At 34.2% G+C, this 21,453-nt stretch overlaps 1 annotated feature.

Annotated features, from left to right (window-relative positions):
• Positions 641-1,500: an enhancer, noted in NCBI's record as "OCT4-NANOG hESC enhancer chr4:32685598-32686457 (GRCh37/hg19 assembly coordinates)". NCBI's record gives its function as "activates a minimal SCP1, AML or CMV promoter by ChIP-STARR-seq in naive H9 embryonic stem cells {active_cell/tissue: H9 hESC(naive)}" and the evidence as "EXISTENCE:reporter gene assay evidence [ECO:0000049][PMID:30033119]".

The raw sequence follows: 21,453 nt of genomic DNA, 5'->3' as shown, positions 1-21,453 counted from the left end.
GTTTGTTGTAGAGTTTTTTTTTTTTGTTTTTTTGTTTTTTGTTTTTGTTTTTTTTGTCTGTGTTTCTCTCCAAATATCAGCTTTATTCATTGCTCTAGAAAGATAATTCTCAGCCTCTCTGGTATTCATGATGAATGATTGATTATTATACATTTACATGTCTCAGCCCTAGTCCTATGTAAAAGATATGTAACAGTTTCATTATCAAAATTCCACATTCTCAAGAGAAGATACCCAGTTTTTGAAAACCAATATCATGTAACATGAATAAAAATTCCTGAGCCCCATTACTATGGCTATTGTGGCTGGCAGGGTTGATTTGCCGTTAAAAAATGATAGGAATTTTAAGTTTGTCCAGAACCCAAATCTAATTTCTTTATTTCATTTTAAATGTAATTGAAAAGTTTCTAACACAAGGTACATGACATTGAATTGTGGATATCTGGACAAACTGTGGCACAATGTTTGTGAACTTCAGATTCCAATTTCAAATTGGACTGAATTTTTCTTAAATGTAGTTTCTGTTTTTAATAAATCAAAATAAATAGCCAATTGCCTTAGACTGTTTTTTAAATGCTATTCAAATCAATTTGAAAAAAAAAATCCATCAAGGAATGGCCCAGTTGCAAGGAATTAAGCAGAAAGAGATTCTAAAAGTTTTGTTTTCTAATCATCAAATGAATAATGGTGATCAAACAATGAATTATTACACTAATATGATAAATTTCTTTGTTTATATATAGCTATAAAAGCCCCAGTATTTTTTTATAAAGCAAGCAAAACTTCTAACATCCTCTTTTGCACAATAGAATAATCTATTTTACAATATTACTTATGAGTGAATTTAGATAGAATGATTGTTTGGGAATGTGATGGGGGTTTGGTATTGAGATTTATGTAACTGAGTAAGAAGATCACTTTTTTTTTTTCCTTTTTATGTCACCTCACCAGGAAAAGAAACTATTGAGAAACCAATCTTGTGAAAATGATAATTGATGTCATGGAAAATAAATAGGTTGAAAACAGCTTGATAGTTAAAAGCTTTAAGTGATTCCTCAGCTCAGCCCTCAGTGGGATGCTTTTCTCATTCAATGACTAGATGAACTCATCTGATGTGCACCACTTAATGCAATTTGAATTAGAAAATGCTTTGATTAGACAGGAGGCAAGACATAAGAGATGAGAAACTATTCTTATTCCATCCTGCAAGGTTTGAACATACATGAACATTAAGAGGCAAATTGACTTTGTAAAAATTTGAGAAGTGGGTAAATTGCGTAGTCTCTTATAAAGTGGATCTCATTAAGAATGACATTTTAAGTCATCATGTCTTTCTGGAAGCAAACTAACATTTTAAATAGGCTCAGGCTAGTTTAGTTTATTGACACATTTCAAAATACTATATTCTTATCACTATTGTTATGAAAGGATTTCTAACCAAGCATTTAGTGGCGATGAAAGGTAGTAACACAGTACTTTCAGGGAGAGGTTACACTTGGTTATCCTTATGGAAAAACTAAAAATAAATTCAAGTTCTACTTTACACTATTATTACATAAGAAAGTTGAACAATTGAGTTATAGTGAACAACTCTTCCCAGTATTCATCTCGACAAGTTGCAGATCTATTCATTCATTCATCAACAAATTCAGCAGGATTTATGGAGCAGCTACCACTTACCAAATTGACCTTATGGTTGTACTTTGAGATTTTAGTAAGAATCAGCCTTGTTATGTGACTTCTACTGAATGGGCACTTGAGAAAATAGTATGTATATCATTTTTCTTGTATTTCCCTCATCGTTTATTATTCTTAAAAATATATAAATTATTTTATAACATCCACAAATTTATTTGCTATCTTATTAAACATGGTGTAATTAAGAAAATGGTAAAGGAAAGATATAAGGATAAAGACAAGAATAATTGATATATAAAAATAAGGATGATTGCAAATAAAGCAAAGAAATGAAGAAAAGCAGAAAATAAAGGGAAAATTTTGCCTTTTTAAATTAATGGGGAATTATAAATAAGAACTAAAACCATTCACCCTTTTTTTTTTTTCTGAAAAAAATCATGCCGTGTTAATCAGGTGTTTTTTTAGCTCCAATGTAATTGGCCGACAGGTTCATCTTGCTCACTGCCCAGAAAAGCCAATACACAGAGAACAGCAGGTGTTACAGCAAAAAAGAGTTTAATCATCACAGGGCCAGACAGGTGAGGGGGACAGAAGATAATTTTCAAATCTGCTTCCCCAAGAATTTAGATGCTTGGATTTTTCAAGGATAGGTTGGTAGACAGAGGGGCTGAGGAATAGAGGAATGCTGATTGGTTGGGGCAAGGATGAAATTATAGGGAGTTGAAGCTGTCTTCTTGCACTGAGTCAATTCCTGGGTTGGGAGGCACAAGGGCAGTTGAGTCAGTTTCTTAGTATGGGTTATTGATCTGGGTGGAGTCAGCTAGTGCATCAGAATGAAAGCTCTGAAAACATCTCAAACACCAGTCTTAGGTTTTATAATAGTGATGTTATCTATAGGAGCAATTGGGGAGGTTACAATTCTTATGACCTATGGCTACATGACTCCTGGATCATAATTCTAACCGTGTGGCCAATCTGTTATTTTTACAAAAGCAGGTTCAGCCCCAAACCAGGGAGATTAGTTCTGGGAAGGGACGGTTATCACCTTTGTTTTAAAGTTAAACTATAAACGAAATTCCTCCCACAGCTAGCTTGGCATATGCCAAGGAATAAGCAAAGACAGTTAGCTTGTGAGGTTAGAGGAAAGATGGAATCATCTGTATTAGATTTCTTCTTGCTATCATAATTTTTACAAAAGCAACTTCACTATGTCGTATATAAATTGGTTAAGAAATTTTCCAGAAAAGTTATTGTAATGCAGAACAGGAACTATAATATATGAGCTTTCCTCCCCACCCCCCCATGGAAGTTTCATTTCATTGGTTGAAAAATTTACACCCACAATAGTGTATAAAATTTCTCTTGGGCCCATGCCCTTACTAATGCTTGGTATTGCTGTATTTTTCTTTCTTTTTTTTCTTTTTGAGATGGAATCTCACCCTGTTGCCCAGGCTAGGTGCAATGGCGTGACCTCAGCTCACTGCGACCTCTGCCTCCCAGGTTCAAGCGATTCTCCTGCCTCAGCCTCCCGAGTAGCTGGGATTACAGGCGCGCGCACCACCATGCCCAGCTAATTTTTTTTTATCTTTAGTAGAGACGGGGTTTCACCATGTTGGCCAGGCTGGTCTAGAACTCCTGACCTCATGATCCACCCGCCTCAGCCTTCCAAAGTGCTGGGATTATAAGCATGAGCCACCATGCCCAGCCTATTGCTGTATTTTTCTATTTTTACAAAATGATGAGTATGAAATAATGTGTCATTTTGTACACTAATTGGCAACATAGGCTTCTTTTTGTGAATTGTTTGTGAACAACTTTATTTTTCTATTAAAAGTTATTTTGTTTCCTCTTTTCTTTTCCTGTTTCCTTCCTTCCTCCGTCCTTTCCTTTCTTCTTTCTTCTTTTGGTTTATGAGACTTCTGCGTATATTTTGCAGAATAGTCTTTCATTATCTAAATAAATTATAGGGCCAGTCATGGTGGCTCATGCCTGTAATCCCAGAAGTTTGGGAGGCCGAGGTGGGCAGATTATTTGAGGGCAGGACTTTCAGACCAGCCTGGCCAACATGGTGAAACTCCATTAGCCAGTTGTGGTGGTTTGTGCCTGTAGTCCCAGCTACTCAGGAGACTGAGGCATGAGAATCACTTGAACTCAGGAGGCAGAGGTTGCAGTGAGCCAAGATTGTGCCACTGCACTCCAGCCTGGGCAACAGAGTAAGACCTGTGTCAAAAATATATGTAAATACGAAAAGAAGTTTTATAAATTAAATTTGACTTTATGCTTTCTGGTTATTGCTACTGACATAGAACCTTGTCTCAGAATTCTCAGTTGTCATTTCTATTTCATTTAATCACTGAGGATAAATGAGAAGAAAAAAAAACAAAGCTGAAAGGAGTCCTATTATTAGGCAAAAAGTAGTCTTAAAGTGGAACTTTAAAGAATTCAATGAAAACTACTCAAGCCTCATGCCAAGGCCTTGGAACAAAAAAGTACGGGCTTTAAAAGACTAAAATTTCAATCTATTTTATTTTTGTTTATCAAATTTTCAGGCTGCCCTACCCTTGCTCCTTCTTGTGGAATTGGTATGATTTCCCTGTCTATTAACGTTGGGCTTGCAATCTGACTTTCTCTGGGGACTGGAATGTAGTTAAAAGTGACAGCATGTCAGTTTTGAGTAGAGACTAAAGATGGATTATGAATTTCCTTAAGCTTGTGTTCTAACAATCCACTGTGAGAACATCATGCGCCAGGGAGAAACTGCTCTTTTAGCAAGGGCGGCGGAACGATAAGACACCCTACAGCCTGTAGCAGTGCTGCTATGGTTGACACAGAGCCTCATGCATTAAACATAAATATTGTTGTTTTTAGCCATGGATATCTGGGGGTTTGTTATGCAGCATTACTATATAAAAGTTAACTTATACTTAAAGCCAGTGTGGATGAGGCATGATGATAAAAGTGATGGAAGCATTAGGTATCGCTAGAGAGCTAGTTAAAGGAAATGTTATTCAGGGTTTTGTACAGTAGGAAAAGGCTTTTTCCTGAATTCTGAGTATACTAAGAAGCTATTGAATAATTTACAAAAGATAGCACTTATTAATCATGAAAAAGTTGGATAGGAGGGAGTAAGTGTAAGACTGAGAAGGTATAGCATTATAAGCATTAGGGGTGAAAAGAAACAGGCGTAGTCAAGAAAAATACCTAGAAGTTAGAAATGACATGGTTTGATGATAATAGGTGCAACGTATGAATAGGGGAAGGGAGAATGTAAAAGGTGATTTCTAGAAATCTATTTCAGTTATAGAATAAATGGCAATATAATTTATTAAGATAAGCAAATCTTGGAACACACTTTGGCAAGAAGATTAAGAGTTTAGGTTGGATAATATATTTGAGTTTCCAGTAACATATGTAAAAAGCTGTTTTGAATTATTTTATGTACAAGTTTGATGTGAGGAGAGAGATGAAGTAGAATTAAATATCTGGAATCATTGATACATAGTTGTATTTTTAAAGACATGGTAGTAAATTATTTCATACAGGAGGAGAAGTATATTGAGACAAGAAGAGATTTGGAGCAACACCCTAAGGCTTTTCATTATTTAACAATCAAAAGAGGTAAGAGACTGCAAAGACGATTAAAAAAAAAATTTAAAAGAAGAAAACTTACAAGAGTACAGTACCTTAGAATTCAAAAAATGCATGTTCAAAAAAGGGAAGACTGATAACTATAATGAATATTGCTGAGAGGTTAAGAAAGATAAGAAGTGGCCTGGCGCGGTGGCTCACGCCTGTAATCCGAGCACTTTGGGAGGCCGAGGCGGGTGGATCACGAGGTCAGGAGATCGAGACCATCCTGGCGAACACAGTGAAACCCCGTCTCTACTAAAAATACAATTAGCCGGGCGTGGTGGCGGGCGCCTGTAGTTCCAGCTACTCAGGAGGCAGGAGAATGGCGTGAACCCGGGAGGCGGAGCTTGCAGTGAGCCGACATCGTGCCACTGCACTCCAGCCCGGGCGATAGAGCGAGACTCCGTCTCAAAAAAAAGAAAAAAAAAAAGAAAGATAAGAACTACAATATATTCATTATATTCATTAGATTTGGCCATATTTTATTCACTGAGCACTGTTTTTACAGCGATTATGGTTGAAGTGGAATTGGAGCCTTTTGAAGAGCAAAGGAGTTCTGCTTTCAAAATAAAGTTGACTAGGTATAGAGGGATCTTCTCAATACAGAAAAGTATATTCTTCATAATGCACATTCTTTGAGTTATCACTCATCTCATAAGTAAAGGAGGTCTCCAACAATGCTTCCTCCAAATAACATGCATGGTCTGGGACCAGAGTAGCAAGAAGCCAAGTTAGGTATTCTTGTCCTGAGGCTGGGTGCAGATAGCAGCAGCAGAGCTGTGCTGAAGCTGAATCCAAGAACCTTAAACTGAGCAGAGCCCTGGAGGAGGAGGGACTTAGTTTGTGTTAACATGGTAGTTCCTGGTGTTAGCTGGATGCTGGAAGAAGCATAAAGAGAAGCAAATTCTTTACGGAATGAAGCTTCCAATATTGCAGCTCAAAGAACCTCCAAATATTAAATCAATTATTGTGAGCTCAAAGATAGCACATTAAAAAGCAAGTCACCTTCAGTAAGTCAGCGGATAATACAAACAGGTAGTTACCAGAGACCTGAAAGTGTAAGAGGGAGGCGATGAAGGAAATATTTGAATGTATTTATTACCACTGTGCCGTACATCTTAAAATGATAACAATGGTAAATTTTATATGTATATTTTACCTCAATGTAAACAAATGACAGACTTCAATCCTTCCAAACTGAAGGTATAGGAAATATCTAACAACGAGTATAGAATAACTATGTACAAAATGTTAAAGAAATAAAGAGCTAAATAACAAAGATGAGAAAGCAGTAAGAATATTTCAGAAATGGACAGGAAGATTAAAAGAAACATCACTTCTAAAAATGAAATTTCTAGAAATCTCCTTAAATTAAAGAGAAAAAAACAAGCAGAAAATGTATCATAAGAAACTATGCAAAATATAGCACTGAGAAATAAGGACATATGAATTATTTAAGTGACAAAGAGAGGCAAAGTATTTTCAGTTCTGGAATTACTTTTCATGGTGACTTTTTTAAGGGCCAATAAAAGAAATGAAATAAGTTCTGATATAGAATCAAAAGAGATATATGAATAAGAAAAAGAAAATCCAAGAATTAGCCAAATTAATTTGCAAAACAGTAGGAAAAACAAACAAAAAGAAACAAACATTTAAAAACTGAACAAGATGATGCACGATGTAGAAAAATATATAAAATGTATCAACAGTGAATTATGAACACACTAAATTCTCTCAATAAGAGACATAGTCATAATGGATTTTTATTTTAATCTAATTATATATGAATTATTAAGTCTACAGTTTAGTTCTTGGTGTTGTGTAATTGATGTTGTAGAGGTACAGTTATGTATAATACAAGTTATTGATAATGCAGTTTATGGGTTAGATGAGAAAGCACAGCTATTTTTTGTGTTACTGTACCTAAAAAGTTATATCTGCTGCATATAAATCTGTATGTGTCAAATATATCACAATTACTATAAGATAATTTTTATAAAAAGAGTTTGTAAGGGGAAAGAGAGTGAAGTGAAGGGGAAAAAGAGAAAATCATATGTATAGAAAACTCATGCCAGAAGCTGGGCTCTGATCATAGCATGAAAATAGAGTCAGAGTATAAGAAGGATGTGAATTTAGAAATGTCTACTTTTTAAATTATTTTTAACTTCTATTTTAGGTTTGGGGATACGTGTGCAGGTTAGTTATACAGGTAAACTCATGTCATGGGGTTTGCTGTACACATTATTTCATCACCCAGGTATTAAGTCTAGTATCCAATAGTTATTTTTGCTGCTTCTCTGCCTCCTCCTACTCTCCACCCTCATATAGACTCCAGTATCTATTGTTCCCTTCTTTTTGTTCATGAGTTCTCATCATTTAGCTCCCACTTATAAGTGAGAACATGTAGTATTTGGTTTCTGTTCTTGAGTTAGTTTGCTAAGGATAATAGCCTCCAGCTCCATCTATGTTCTTACAAAAGACATAATATCATTCTTTTTTATGGCTGCATAGTATTCCATGTCTATATGTGCTACACTTTTTTTCATCCAGTCTGTCACTGATGGGCATTTGGGTTGATTACATGTCTTTGCTATTGTGAATAGTGCTGCAATAAATATTTATGTGCTTGTGTCTTTATAAGAGAATGATATATACTGCTCTGGGCATATAACCAGTAATGGGATTACTGAATCAAATGGTAGTTCTGTTTTTAGCTCTTTAAGGAATCAACATACAGCTTTCCACAATGGTTGAACTAATTTACACTTATACCAACGTGTACAAGTGTTCCATTTTCTCTGCAACCTCACTAGCATCTGTTATGTTTTGACTTATTTCTGTAGTTCAGTTCAGTCTTACTTTATGTCAAATAGAAATATTACAGTTGAAAAAAATACCCTATTTTAACTGTTTCTTAAGCCCCCAAAACATAGACATTTAAATGTTTCCAATTTTGTGTCAATGATGTTGTAAACAGAAAATTTATACATTTCTATTCATTCATTAGTGTAATATGTAAATATCTCAGTCATAAATTCCAGAATTTATGTCTAAGAGGAATAGGCATGGAATGCCTTTTAAAAGATACTGCCAATCGGACTTAAAAAAAAAAAAAAAGATATCAACTAGGAGACATAGCAACAGCACCTGCTTCCACATAGCTCATTTAAATTGAGTTCAATTTAAACCTGTAAATTGAGTGTTTTACAGGTTTGATAATACAATAGCCTAAAATGATATTTTTCATGTGCCTATTATTATGATTCATAGAGAGTTTGAGTGGTTTTTTTTTCTTCCTTTTAAAGGCTTATGCTTTCCTCCTTTTTTTATTACTGTGAATTATTTTTTCCTTTTACTACTATATTTTCATTTACTTATTGACATGAACCTTGATATGGTTTGGGTCTCTGTCCCCATCCAAATCTCATGTCAAATTGTAACTCCAATGTTGGAGGTGGGGCCTGGCGGGAGGAGATTGGATCATGGGGACAGATTTCCTTTTTGGTGCTGCTCTTGTGACAGTGAGTGAGTTATTTTGAGATCTGGTTGCTTAAAAGTGAGTAGCACCTCTCCTCTCTTCCTCCTGCTCTGGCCGTGTGAACACATGTGTGCTTTCCCTTTGCCTTCCACCATAATTGTAAGTTTCAGGAGGTCTTCCTAGCCATGCTTCCTGTACAGACTTCGGAACTGTGAACGAATTATACCTTTTTTCTTTATAAATTACCCAGCCTCAGGTGGTTTTTTATAGCAGTGTGAAAATGAACTAACACAACTCTTAATGTAACTAGCCAATATTTAGCCAAATCATTGATTTCTATTTTAATAAATTGGATATTATTATGACAAAATAAATAAATTATGGATGTGTGAGAAATTCTTAAACATTTTAGTTTGTTCCATAAAATTTGACACATACAATATATAATGTATATTAAATATTAATCATTAAAGACAGATAGAATGGGAATGCCAGTCATTCAAATTCTATAAGTAAGAAAAGTGCCATTTCAGAGTGAATTTATCTTACAATGTAACCTTAAATTTAGAACTCCACAAAATGAATTTCAGGTAAATGAAAGAAACAAATCCGTTCTGTGTTAGTCAAAAACTGAGAATCATTTGTAAATATATGAGCATCAATTTTTGATGACAGAAATCAAATATGACAGAAAGAGAAAGCAATTCTTTCTCAAAAGTAAAAAATGCTAATTTTTTGTCAGATTAATGAGATTATAAATTTTTTCCACATATTTTAAAACTTTACTGTTCACCAGTGCCATGGAATATTTATCTTTTAATATAACAATTTTAAAGATAATCACAATTTATATAAACAGATAAACATGAGATACTTTTTACAAAAGTGCCAAAATTGGATTACCATATTTCCAATTTGTTACTGCTCTATCTTTCAAAACTGTATACCAGCTTAAAACAGTAAGTAATTATCTAATGGATATATATATTTCTGTTTTTATTTTTTATTTAACATTACATTGTAGATGCTAATTCAAGTTTCTATGTATACTTCTTATTTGTAATATTGATATAAAAGAACGTGCACAGCTATTACACTGTGATGGACATTTATTGTAACTTTTTTTAAAAAGATGATGCTGTACTGAATCTATTTATACACATTTTTCTTCTTTTTACATATTTCCTGAGGTTAAATCACTTAGAGGAGGTTTACTGGGTCATATACTTTTCAATCCTCTGCTTATGTAATTTTGCAGAGATTTCTGAAATGTGAATATCAATTTATGAAACAATTTAGAACAAATCAGAGTGTTTAAATTACAATCTTTCAGTCCCTACCCTCTGTTCCCACAAATAATCACCACAATTTAACAATTTATTTTATGTTTTATGCCAATTTCTCTAAAAAGGTATTGAAAATCTCTAGAGAAATTTCATTTCCTTAGTTTTTTAATTAATATATTGATAAGAATGACTATTTCACATACCTTGTTAATACTTTGTATCCTTTTTGTGTGAAATTACATTATACTTCATCTAATGAGATGTGATTTTTTTTCTATATGTTGTTTCTTGTTTATTATAAATATTAACCTTTACTTAGATTTATGGATATCTATTTCTCGATCTTTATTTAAGTTATCATTGTCATTTTCTACTGGAAGTTGAGTCAATGCAGAAATAGAGAGACCAGTAAGAAAGATACTAACTGCAAAGTAGACCACAGTGCTTTGAGCTAAGAAAATGGAGGTAAGGATGGAAAAGTGAGCACTGAGAAATATTTTGAAGGAAAAAAATTCACTTACATGATAAGAAATGTAAAGAGAAAAGAAAGATCAAAACTGAGTCTCAGATTTCTGCTTTAACCAATTAGGATTTTTGTACCATTTTTTCAGATGGAAAAGTCACAAGCCTACCAGGTATGGTTGTGAAACTTGTGTACTGTACAGAAATGTTGAAAAAAATAGGTGACTTTGTACTCAAATCTAGCTCTCGATCTGCTTCCTGAGATAGTTGTCCATAGACTGCCCCTTCCAGGAAGGCTATATCTTGCTTATTTATGGTAAAGCATTGTATAAGCTATTAGTGGCCAGTAGTGTTAGGAGGAAGAAACTAAAATTAGGTCTTGATGTATTAGGTTTGGGATGCCTTTGAGACATTCAACGCAGATTTTAAGAGTAAGTTGAAATTGGTTCTTATTAACTGTTAATGATATAATTAATACAAGACACATGGCTGAGGTCCTTGAATATAATTAGTTTTTTAATCAATTATAACTAATATCGTTATTATAGCCCAATCTAGAATTATGAGGATAATTATAGACCTCTATTTTTTCCTCTCTTACATATTTACCCATCTACCTGTTATCGCTACTACTTCCTGAAATATGTTTATTTTTTATCTCATCTTCCAAGATCTGTAATAATAATTTATATAATAATTTTCTAGCTGTCATTATTTATTTTGATTGCCCTATTCCTCAATAAACACAGGATAAAATATAAATTTCATATGTGGCCTATAAGGATCACTGTGATTTGCTCACAACATATCTATTGCCTTTTAGTTTTCCTAGACTGTTGCGCTACTAAACTACTTCCAAGTCTTGCTATGTGTCATGGTGTTTGCCTTATTCATGCTTCCATACATGTGATTTTCTTTACTTGGAGAAACTTTTCCAACAAGTTGTCCACAGGATTTTGAATACCTTCTAGAAACTTGCAGAAATATCTGGAAAGACAGTTATCTACTTCTGGTTGTGCATTTAAGCTTGGATTCACTTTTGACTAGAACTTAATAATTTAGAGACAGTATTCTTTGGGTTACTGATGACAATAATTTAAATAGGATACAGAAACCAAGCATACTATTAATTGTTGCCTATTTGTGACAGCATATTTACTGTGTTCCATGCATTTTAAAAAGCATAAGCATATATACATATATATGCAGTAATGATACATGTGTATATATTTTTAATAATTTTATATATAACTTTACATATATATGTATAGTGATGATATGTGTATCAATTTTATCTTCATGAAGAGTAGTGGTATGTTTTGGATGTTTGTCCCCTCCATACCTCATGTTGAGTTGTAATCTCCAATGTTGGAAGTGGGTCCTGGTAGGAGGTGTTTGAATTATGGGTGTAGATCCCTCCTGAATTGGCTGGGTGTCATCCTTGAGGTAATGAGTGAGTTCTCAGCTATGAGTTCAAGTGTGATCTGGTTGTTTAAAAGAGCGTGGAACTTCCTTCTCACTCTCTTGCTCCCTTTCTCACCATGTGACACACTGGCTCCCCTTTGCCTTCCCCTGTGATTATAAGCTTCCTGAGGCCCTCACCAGAAGTAAATGCTGGCACTGTGCTTCATACACAGCCTCCAGAATTGTGAGCCAATTAACCTTTTTTACTTATAAATTATCCAGCCTCAAGTATTCCTTTTCAACAGTGCAAATGGACTAACACAGTGGCAATAAGGAAATAATTTCTTAGCAAGGTTAAGTCCTAATAACTTGCCCCAGGCTTTAGATTTAATCTCAAATCTCTGTGACTATAAAACCCATATCCTTTTTCACCAGATGTGTTTTTTAAAACTCAGTTATTTGTTTCTCCATAGCTGATTCTGACCACTTGGGTGTGAAACCAACACATTTTTCTTAAAAATTATGTCCCTAAAACTTAAAGAAAAGGGTCCTCTTCTGCGTAAGTCTCTCCATGATGCTAAGTTGTTTCATCAGCTGTCTCTAATTTAGGCAGAACTATTTTTTTTTCTTTTGTTTTTTCCTAAACACAAGCCACAAACTCATGAAACTGGCAAAAATAAAGAACACAAACACAGGCTCACTGGTGATTGGTTGGCTCAAGACTAGGAAATACTATTACTTTGAAAAATTACTTGATTGTCAGTAGTCACATATGCACATAAGGAGACAAACATGCCCACACATAAGGAGACAAACATACCCACACATATGTCAAGTTCCCCAGGCTGACTTTTGTCTTTGGCCTATCATTTCTCTAATAGCTTGCTTACTAGAGTCATAAGTTGAAGTTTCTACCCTGCACAGGGCAACCAGCTTAAACACTGCTTTCAAGTTGCCATTTTCTTCCCCTTAATGTTTCTTCATTGTGAGTGCAATAAAGTCTAGGCTCTTTAACTTGGATTAATGACCCTTCAAAACTACACTTGAGCCCGATCTCACATCTCTCACTGCTCCCCTACTGACTGTTAACTTTCCTTCAAATAAATCTTGAACTTAGATTCTGTTTGGCTTCACTTAGACAACTGTCCCCCCTTAAATATATTACCATTTGTTTTCCTTCAAACTATACCTTCAAGGTCTAGCCTTTCCTGTGTTAATCTCAAATGCACTCTCATTTTCTGTCCCAAATCCATTTCTCTTTAAGCGTCACTGTTGTTAAAGGCAGTGCTTTTACTTTAATATTTTCTTTTCCTACATTTCACTATAACTGTTATAATACGAAGTGCTAAGCTATTTTTTAAAAAATCTTGACCACATGATGCCTTTTTCAAGTAACCCTGTATATGTATTGATTAGTATTAAAGCAAAATATTGAGGACACGTAACATAAAATAAGTTGATTCTTATCATAACTGCCACATATATGGTTATTAATTAGAAGTAGCTCATTTATTAATGTAGATATTTAGATTTCTATTTATTTGTTGATATAGATTATCTATAGATTTCTTTTTATTTGGGCCAGATATTGACTTCTGAGAAAAAATATCTAGTTCAATGTGTGAACGTGAATATTTATACTTTGCCTCATCTGTAACTATAAATCTCTCTCTAGATAGGTAGCTACATAGATAAACATACAAGTATATATAAATATCATATGTTTTTTAAAATATATATTTACTTATGCACGCACATATATTCCTGTACACTCTGTATGCCAACTGCTGTTGAAATAAATGTAGCTAAAATATTGTGCACCACAAGTGGAAACAGAATAGAAGGACAAAAGCAGAAACAATTAAATATATATATATAACAATCAGCCAATACTTTCTGATTTCAGGTTAATCATTTGTAAAATGAAATGAATGCCCATATGTACACTTGTTTTGAGACATATGTGATATATGTGAATTGGTTTTGAAAACTTGGAAGCACTATATAATAAACTAGTAAACATTATGTTATTATGCACACACACACAAATGTACTCAATCAGTATGGTTTATGATTAAAAACTCCATTTCCATTATCAATATTTTTGTGTTATGTCAAATGTACTCTCATTTTTTCATCAAAAATCCATCACTTTCAAAGTCTTGCTGCATTGAAAGTAGTAATTTAATCTTGGTATTTTTTGTCTACCGTTCACTAACACTATTATAATACTAAGTGCTATGCTATAATGCTTTAGTCCTAACCATTTCATCATAAAGAAATAAAATTTATTATGAATACCCAAGATTGATGATCTTCTGTCATAAAATCAGACAAAACACACAATAAAACATTGCTCAGATTGGATTTAAATCTCAATCTATTTCAGTTTACCATTATTGTTTTTCTAACTGAAATTGGTTTAATAAGGGAAATATTTAAATATTATGTTTTTGTTTGTTTTTTGTTTTTTGTTTTTTGTTTTTTTTTTTTGAGACGGAGTTTCATTCTTGTTGCCCAGGCTGGAGTGCAATGGCATGATCTTGGCTCACTGTGACCTCCATCACCCGGGTTCAAGCTATTCTTCTGCCTCAGCCTCCATAGTAGCTGGGATTACAGGCACACACCACCACACCCAGCTAATTTTTTCTATTTTTAGTAGGACGGGGTTTCACTATGTTGGTCAGGCTGGTCTTGAACTCCTGACCTCAGGCAATCCACCTGCCTTGGCCTCCCAAAGTGCTGGGATTAGAGGCATGAGCCACCGCGCCTGAATCTTAAATATTATGTTTCTATACAATATGCCTTTTTAATAATTATATTATAGGCTAGACTAATTAAAATTACCCTACATGATAATAATACTAAATGTATCTAAAGAATATTCAGGTACAGGAACATGACCAACAAGAAGAAATAGTTAGAAATAGTATATAATGATTTGGATCAGAGAAACTAGTATGCCAGATAATTACAAAAAAAGTCCTTAATTTTAGATAATAGAAAATATTTATTAAGCAATATAAGTTTCTTACAGAATGACTGGGTTGACTGGGGTCACTGGACCTTGGCTAAAGTTGTCAGAAAACATCACTGAATCATTCAAAAGGTAAGGGCAGTTCTCAAATGACCTAACGCAGCTGTCAATGACAGGGCTATATACATGGAGTGTTTATTTTCTATTTTCAGTCAGTGTTATTAGAACTGGACAAATGTATTTGAATATATCCGTAGGTCATTTGAAGAAAAGGTGTGATTTTTGTTATTCTTTCCAAGGAGCTGGAGAGTTCTTTAAATTGGATTTCCTAGGTATATCGGTCCATTTTCACACTGCTGATAAAGACATACCCCAGACTGGGCAATTTACAAAAGAAAGAGGTTGAATGGACTCACAGTTCCACGTGGCTAGGGAAGTCTCACAATCATGGCAGAAGGCAAGGAGGAGCAGGTAATGTCTTACATGGGCGGCAGCAGGCAAAGAGAGTTTGTGCAAGGAAACTCCCCCTTAAAAAACCATCAGAGATTTATTCACTATCAGGAGAACAGCAAGACCTGCCCCCATGATTCAATTACCTCCCACCAGGTCCCTCCCACAACACATTGGAATTCAAGATGAGATTTGAGTGGGACACAGCCAAACCATATCACTAGGTTACCTGATTAGTTTCTACAATGATATATTGATGTACTTTTTTTTTTCATTCCAGGTGAGTAGCATATGAAGTCTGAGTATATGAGCTAAAAGTTTATAAAGATCATATAACCAACAAATCACAAACTGGTAGACTACTGGCCATGGAATACCTGGATGCTGTCAATGTTAAAAATGAGAAGATTTTATATAAAAGGCAGCATCCTGATAAATTATCCTACAAATATGAAACTACTAACACTGGATCCATGTCTTTCCAAAATTATCATCACCATCATCATCGTCATCATCACAAAGCCATCACAGAGTGCTTTCTGTTTGTCATCCACAGTGCCAAACCCTTTGCAGACATTGTTTCTTTTAATCTTTACAGCAATCCTATCATGTAGGATACCCTATTATCACCTGATAATTGAAGATAAATAATTGTCCAAGAGTATACAAGTAGCAGATGATAAAGCCACATTTCAAACTAATATGATTCTAACCCATCAACTGTCAGCCAATGGTCGTAACTGGCCTGTTTGGATTTTGTGCCCTGCAGTTTGTCACAGTTTGCTCCTGTCTGTACGTGGTCAGCTTTTCCCACTATTGTTATTGGTTGGAAAACATGGCCCTTTGGACCAATGAGTACTGAGGTTTATGAAAACCCTTGTTTTACAGCGGCAGAAACCTCCAAAGTGAAGTCAAGCAAAGTTAACTATGTTAGGTTGTAGAAATATCAATGATGTGTGCTTCTGTCTATTTCAACAACTGACCTTCAGCCCAACACAAAATATTTCTCAATAAAGAATAACTGATTGACTAATTGAAGGAAAAAGTAACAAATGACTACAGGGCATAGTTAACACTGGATTTGTGTTCAAGGTCCTCTATATTTTTGGTCTCCATATTTCACAAAAAATAACAACTGCCATAAATTGTTAGAAAATAGCATTGTTTTATTAATACATAGTGTGAGTTGGCCTGGCTCACTGGATCACTCCTGTGATCATAGCACTTTGAGAAGTCGAGGCGGGTGGATCACTTGAGGTCAGGAGTTTGTGACCAGGGTGGCCAACTTGGTGAAATCCCGTCTCTACTAAAAATACAAAAATTAGCTGGGCATGATGGCGCTTGCCTGTAGTCCCAGCTACTCGGGAGGCTGAGGCTGGAGAATCGCTTGAACCCCGGAAGCAGAGATTGCAGTGAGCCAATATCGCACCACTGCACTCCAGCCTGGGCAACAGCAAGACTCATCTCAAAAAATAAAAATAAAAAAATACGTAGTGTAAGTCATTTCTTCCAGGGCTTTGCTTTTTATCTTATTTAATACTACAGCCATGTTCTGAGCTAAATTTATTATTATTCCCACCTGACAGATAAGTAAAATCCTATCAGGATACTGATAGATAAGGAACTTACCTAAAGTCACCTTGTCTTATGAATAGCTTGATTAGGATGGGTTTAAACCTGATCAATATGATCACATTTCCAAAATGCTATTTTATTTACCATTATTGAGTTTTTCATTATTCAAGATTTTCTATTTTGATCATGGCATTACATCAGCAAGTTAATTGTTTTAACTTTTGAATTATAGTTCATAAAATACTTTGTGTGAAAATGCTCTATTTATGAAAAAGCTATTATATATGAAGTTTTACAAAAGTAATACAAATGTCTCAATTAATTAAACAAAACACTATAGTTGGAAATTCAGCAGTTGTTAAGCTACTTGAGATTAAAGTTTATGTAAACTTTTAATCTATGAAAGATATAAATTATAAATTCTTCAGTTTGTATTACTTTTAATGTAAATTGCTTTTTGGTTCTATTACTTTATATTGGCATAAGTCTAAAATGGGTACACATTAAATCATTTAAAATTATGTTTTAAAAGTATGTTTCTCATAAAACAAATGTGAATTTTAAAAAATCAGAAATATTTGATTTATTTAGAGAAAAATATATGGCTAGTTATCTAAATAAAGTGTTCACCACATTTTAATCATATTGAATATAAATTTATATCATGAACAGAGAAAGTGTTCTATTTACACAAAAGCAACAATTAAACAAAAAAGAAAAATAAGGACCTTCAAAATATAGTAAAAGGTTAATTAAATTTGGGACATAGCAGGCAATAGATAGAGTTAAAACACACATAAACCACTTACATTTATGTATTAATTGTTGCACGTTGGACAAATATATATATATCTATATATCAAGGAAAACCACTCTCATTTTGCACAAAAACAGAGTAAAAAGCTATAAATAATTATATTTTAAGATTGCCATTGACATTTATATGTACTGAAATGTTAACGAAATGTTTGAAATACATTTTTGGTATTTTATAGTAAATAACTCTCGAGACTATAATCTTTTCAGATATATGTAATGCTTGTAATACAAGCTCTTATTATTCATATAGAAATAGCTAAAGTTGCAGTTCTCACACTGATTTCCTCAATAATTTTGTCAAATATCTGTTTTCTCTGAAGTCTAATTTCCTCGTCTGAAAATTGTAGGTTACTTTGTCAACATTTCAGATACTTGTGATGATTTAATAAGAAAATATGTTTAAATCTCATCCCCAGGTACATAAAGGCTTAACAAGTATAAATATGTTTGTATATATTATTGTAAAGATAAATATAGACTACCCCTTCTATTTTAAAAATGAGCATATAACTAGTCAGTCATTCTTAAATATACAATTCGTATGTTGTTCTTTAAGTGTTTTAATCTGTATGGAAATCATATATTTGTGCCCAAATAATAATCATCTTAGGTTTAAATGCCATTTCTCAGTTCATCTTTTCCCCCAGAATAAGTTGATGCTTATATAGACAACGTTTGGACAAATAAAATTACATATTATTCATTAAAATTTAGAGAAACTTTCTGTGTGTACTCAGGGCTATTCTCTTAAGAAAAGCTGGTAAGAGATTTGTGAATATAATTTAAATACCATTAAGTAGATGAAGTTACTATAAGAATTATGCATCAGATATTCAGAGGCTAGACTGAAAAACTACTAGGAAGAAAAAAAAAAAAAAAAAACTAGATGAAGCTGGAAACCATCATTCTCAGCAAAGTATCACAAGGACAAAAAACCAAACACCGCATGTTCTCACTCATAGGTGAGAATTGAACAATGAGAACATATGGACACAGAAACGGGAACATCACACACAGGGGCCTGTTGTGGGGTCGGGGGAGCAGGGAGGGATAGCATTAGGAGATATACCTAATGTTAAATGACAAGTTAATGTGTGCAGCACACCAACATGGCACATGTTGTAACAAACCTGCACTTTGTGCACATGTACCCTAAAACTTAAAGTATAATAAAAAAAAGAAAGAAAATAAAGCAGCAGCCAACAAGTAAGCCAAAGTAAAGAGAATTTGACAAAATAGAAGAAAAATAAAATGAAAAGAATTCCAGTACTACAGGAAAAGCTAATTATCAGATAAAGAGTAAGAATGAAAAATATGTAGAGATATAGATATATACGCATACATATATATTTGTGTTTATACACATATATGTCTAAGCATATTTACACTTATATAAACATATATTTATATGTCTATACCTATATGCATATATGTATATAGACCTAGATATACATGAACATATAGATTTAAAATGGAGGAATCAGTGTGGACAGAGCACTGTGCTACTTAGCCACACAGGAGATTGATGTTGCAGAATAGACAGTTCAGGACTGTCATGATGATCATATTTTCAAAAATAATGGTTTCTGTACTTGTCAGAGGGATTTTTTGTTGTTGTTAACTGCCAGACAAAAGGGCTAAGGGTGAGCACACCAAAGAAAACCTGAAGATATAGAAAAAAATAAGGTCCCAGCAAAATATAGTTTCATACTTTGAAAATTGCAATAGAAAAGGAAAATTTGGCCAAAAGAAAAGCAAATGATAAAATTTGTGTTGTTAACCTAAAGTGTGAAACAAAGTGATCAGAAGTCCATATAAGTATCAGAGAAGCCAACTGTGAAATACAAAAGAAAGGTATAAAATAGGTAGGAAAATAAAAGTTTTTTTTTTCAGTATCACCAATGTAGGAGTTCTCTCTAACTTGGAGAAATCTTTAGATGCAAAAACATAAGGCAAGTTAATTATATTCCATAATTTTAATAAACGTAGTAAAATGGCTCAACTTGCTACCATATCTTGATGATAAAAGGAAAATAATTTTCCTTAGACCTTACTAGCACACAGGTGAAGGGTAGCAGAATGTGCCAATCCAAAATATGCCACTTTGGCATGAAGATTATTTTGAGCTACTGAAAGGCAATAGAAAAGCAGCACATACCAGAAAAGCTTTCTGTCCTTCCCTATTCGCTTAAAAGCAGGACATAAATTTAAAAAGGTGTCCCTCCTCTCCTTTTTATCAGAATGGACACAAATTGATCACCAGAGATGACCTCAGACCCTTACCAGACTACAGATGGCACACAAGGAATCTATATTTTAAACTTTACTAATTAGCCCTTATCTATCATATAGTTGCCTTCCCTCAGTTTGCTCCCCAAGAGACTCAAGGTCGTCCTTATCCTTTGTCTTGTTACTTCTCCAAAAATGTACTGTTTTTGTTGAAGATGCTACACAAGCAGGAGTTCTAAGCCACCTCTTTGATAACTATTCATTTTTTTCTTGAGTATTTCCCATGTGTAAATGAGTTACACATGAGGTATACATGTTAAGCAACCTTCATTTGTTTTCTTCTTGTTAATCTGCCTTTTATTATAGAGGTCCCAAGTAGGAACATACAAGGATTGAAGAGATATTAGTTTTCCTCCCCTGAATAGGCAATAGGTAAAAATAAGATCCATATATATATATATATATATATATATATATAATTCTAAAATATATATATTTTATCCATACATATATACACATTTTGCCAACTCTGCCCCCATATGCTTGACTTCAATATGTCATTACTCCCACAGATATTCCTTATGGAACTGGTGATAGGCACCACAAACCTCCCCTCCCAGCATCCATTTACATGTCTCCTTTCCCATTTAAATCAAATCATATACATGTATGTAAAATATATGTGTGTGTGTGTATTTTTTTTTTTAGACAGAGTTTTGCTCTTGTTGCCCAGGCTGGAGTGCAATGGCACGATCTCAGTTCACTGCAAACTCCACCTCTCGGGTTCAAGCGATTCTCCTCCCTCAGCCGCTAGAGTAGCTGGGATTACAGGCATGCGCCCCCATGCCTTGCTAATTTTGTATTTTCAGTAGAGGCAGGGTTTCTCCATTTGGCCAGGCTGGTCTCGAACTCCTGACCTCAGGTGATCCACCTGCCTTGTCCTCCCAAAATGCTGGGATTACAGGTGTGAGCCACCATGCCCGGCAGATCCCATTATATTTTATACCCAACTTTTGCCAACTCTGCCCCCATATGCTTGACTTCAATATGTCATTACTCCCACAGATATTCCTTATGGAGCTGGTGATAAGCACCACAAACCTCCCCTCCCAGCATCCATTTACATGTCTCCTTTCCCATTTAAATCAAATCATATGTATGTATATATATTTGGGTTTGGCGAATCCATGAACTTATGTGTCAGTGTCAGCCGAGATTCATCCAGAAGCCTCATGCAAAAATGATATTGCAATATTCACCTTGTGAGTCCTCCATCAAAATGTCTTATCTTGCCTTTTCTTCTCCCTCTTTCTCACTTACTGCTTTTATTTCTCATCCTTATCTTCCTTCTCGTATTTCTCCTCTTCCTATTTCTCCTCCTATTCCTCATTCTTCTTTTTTAAAGTAGGTCATTTCTTCATTTAAATTTATATCATGGTACCAAGTTTTCCTCTGAATTTGCTCACTGCAGAGTATTGGTGATAAAGTTATGATTATTGGCCATT

The sequence above is a fragment of the Homo sapiens genome, chromosome 4 (assembly GCF_000001405.40).
Source record: "Homo sapiens chromosome 4, GRCh38.p14 Primary Assembly".
In the NCBI taxonomy this organism is placed as follows: domain Eukaryota; kingdom Metazoa; phylum Chordata; class Mammalia; order Primates; family Hominidae; genus Homo; species Homo sapiens.
This window is presented reverse-complemented; position numbering and strand designations above follow the sequence as displayed.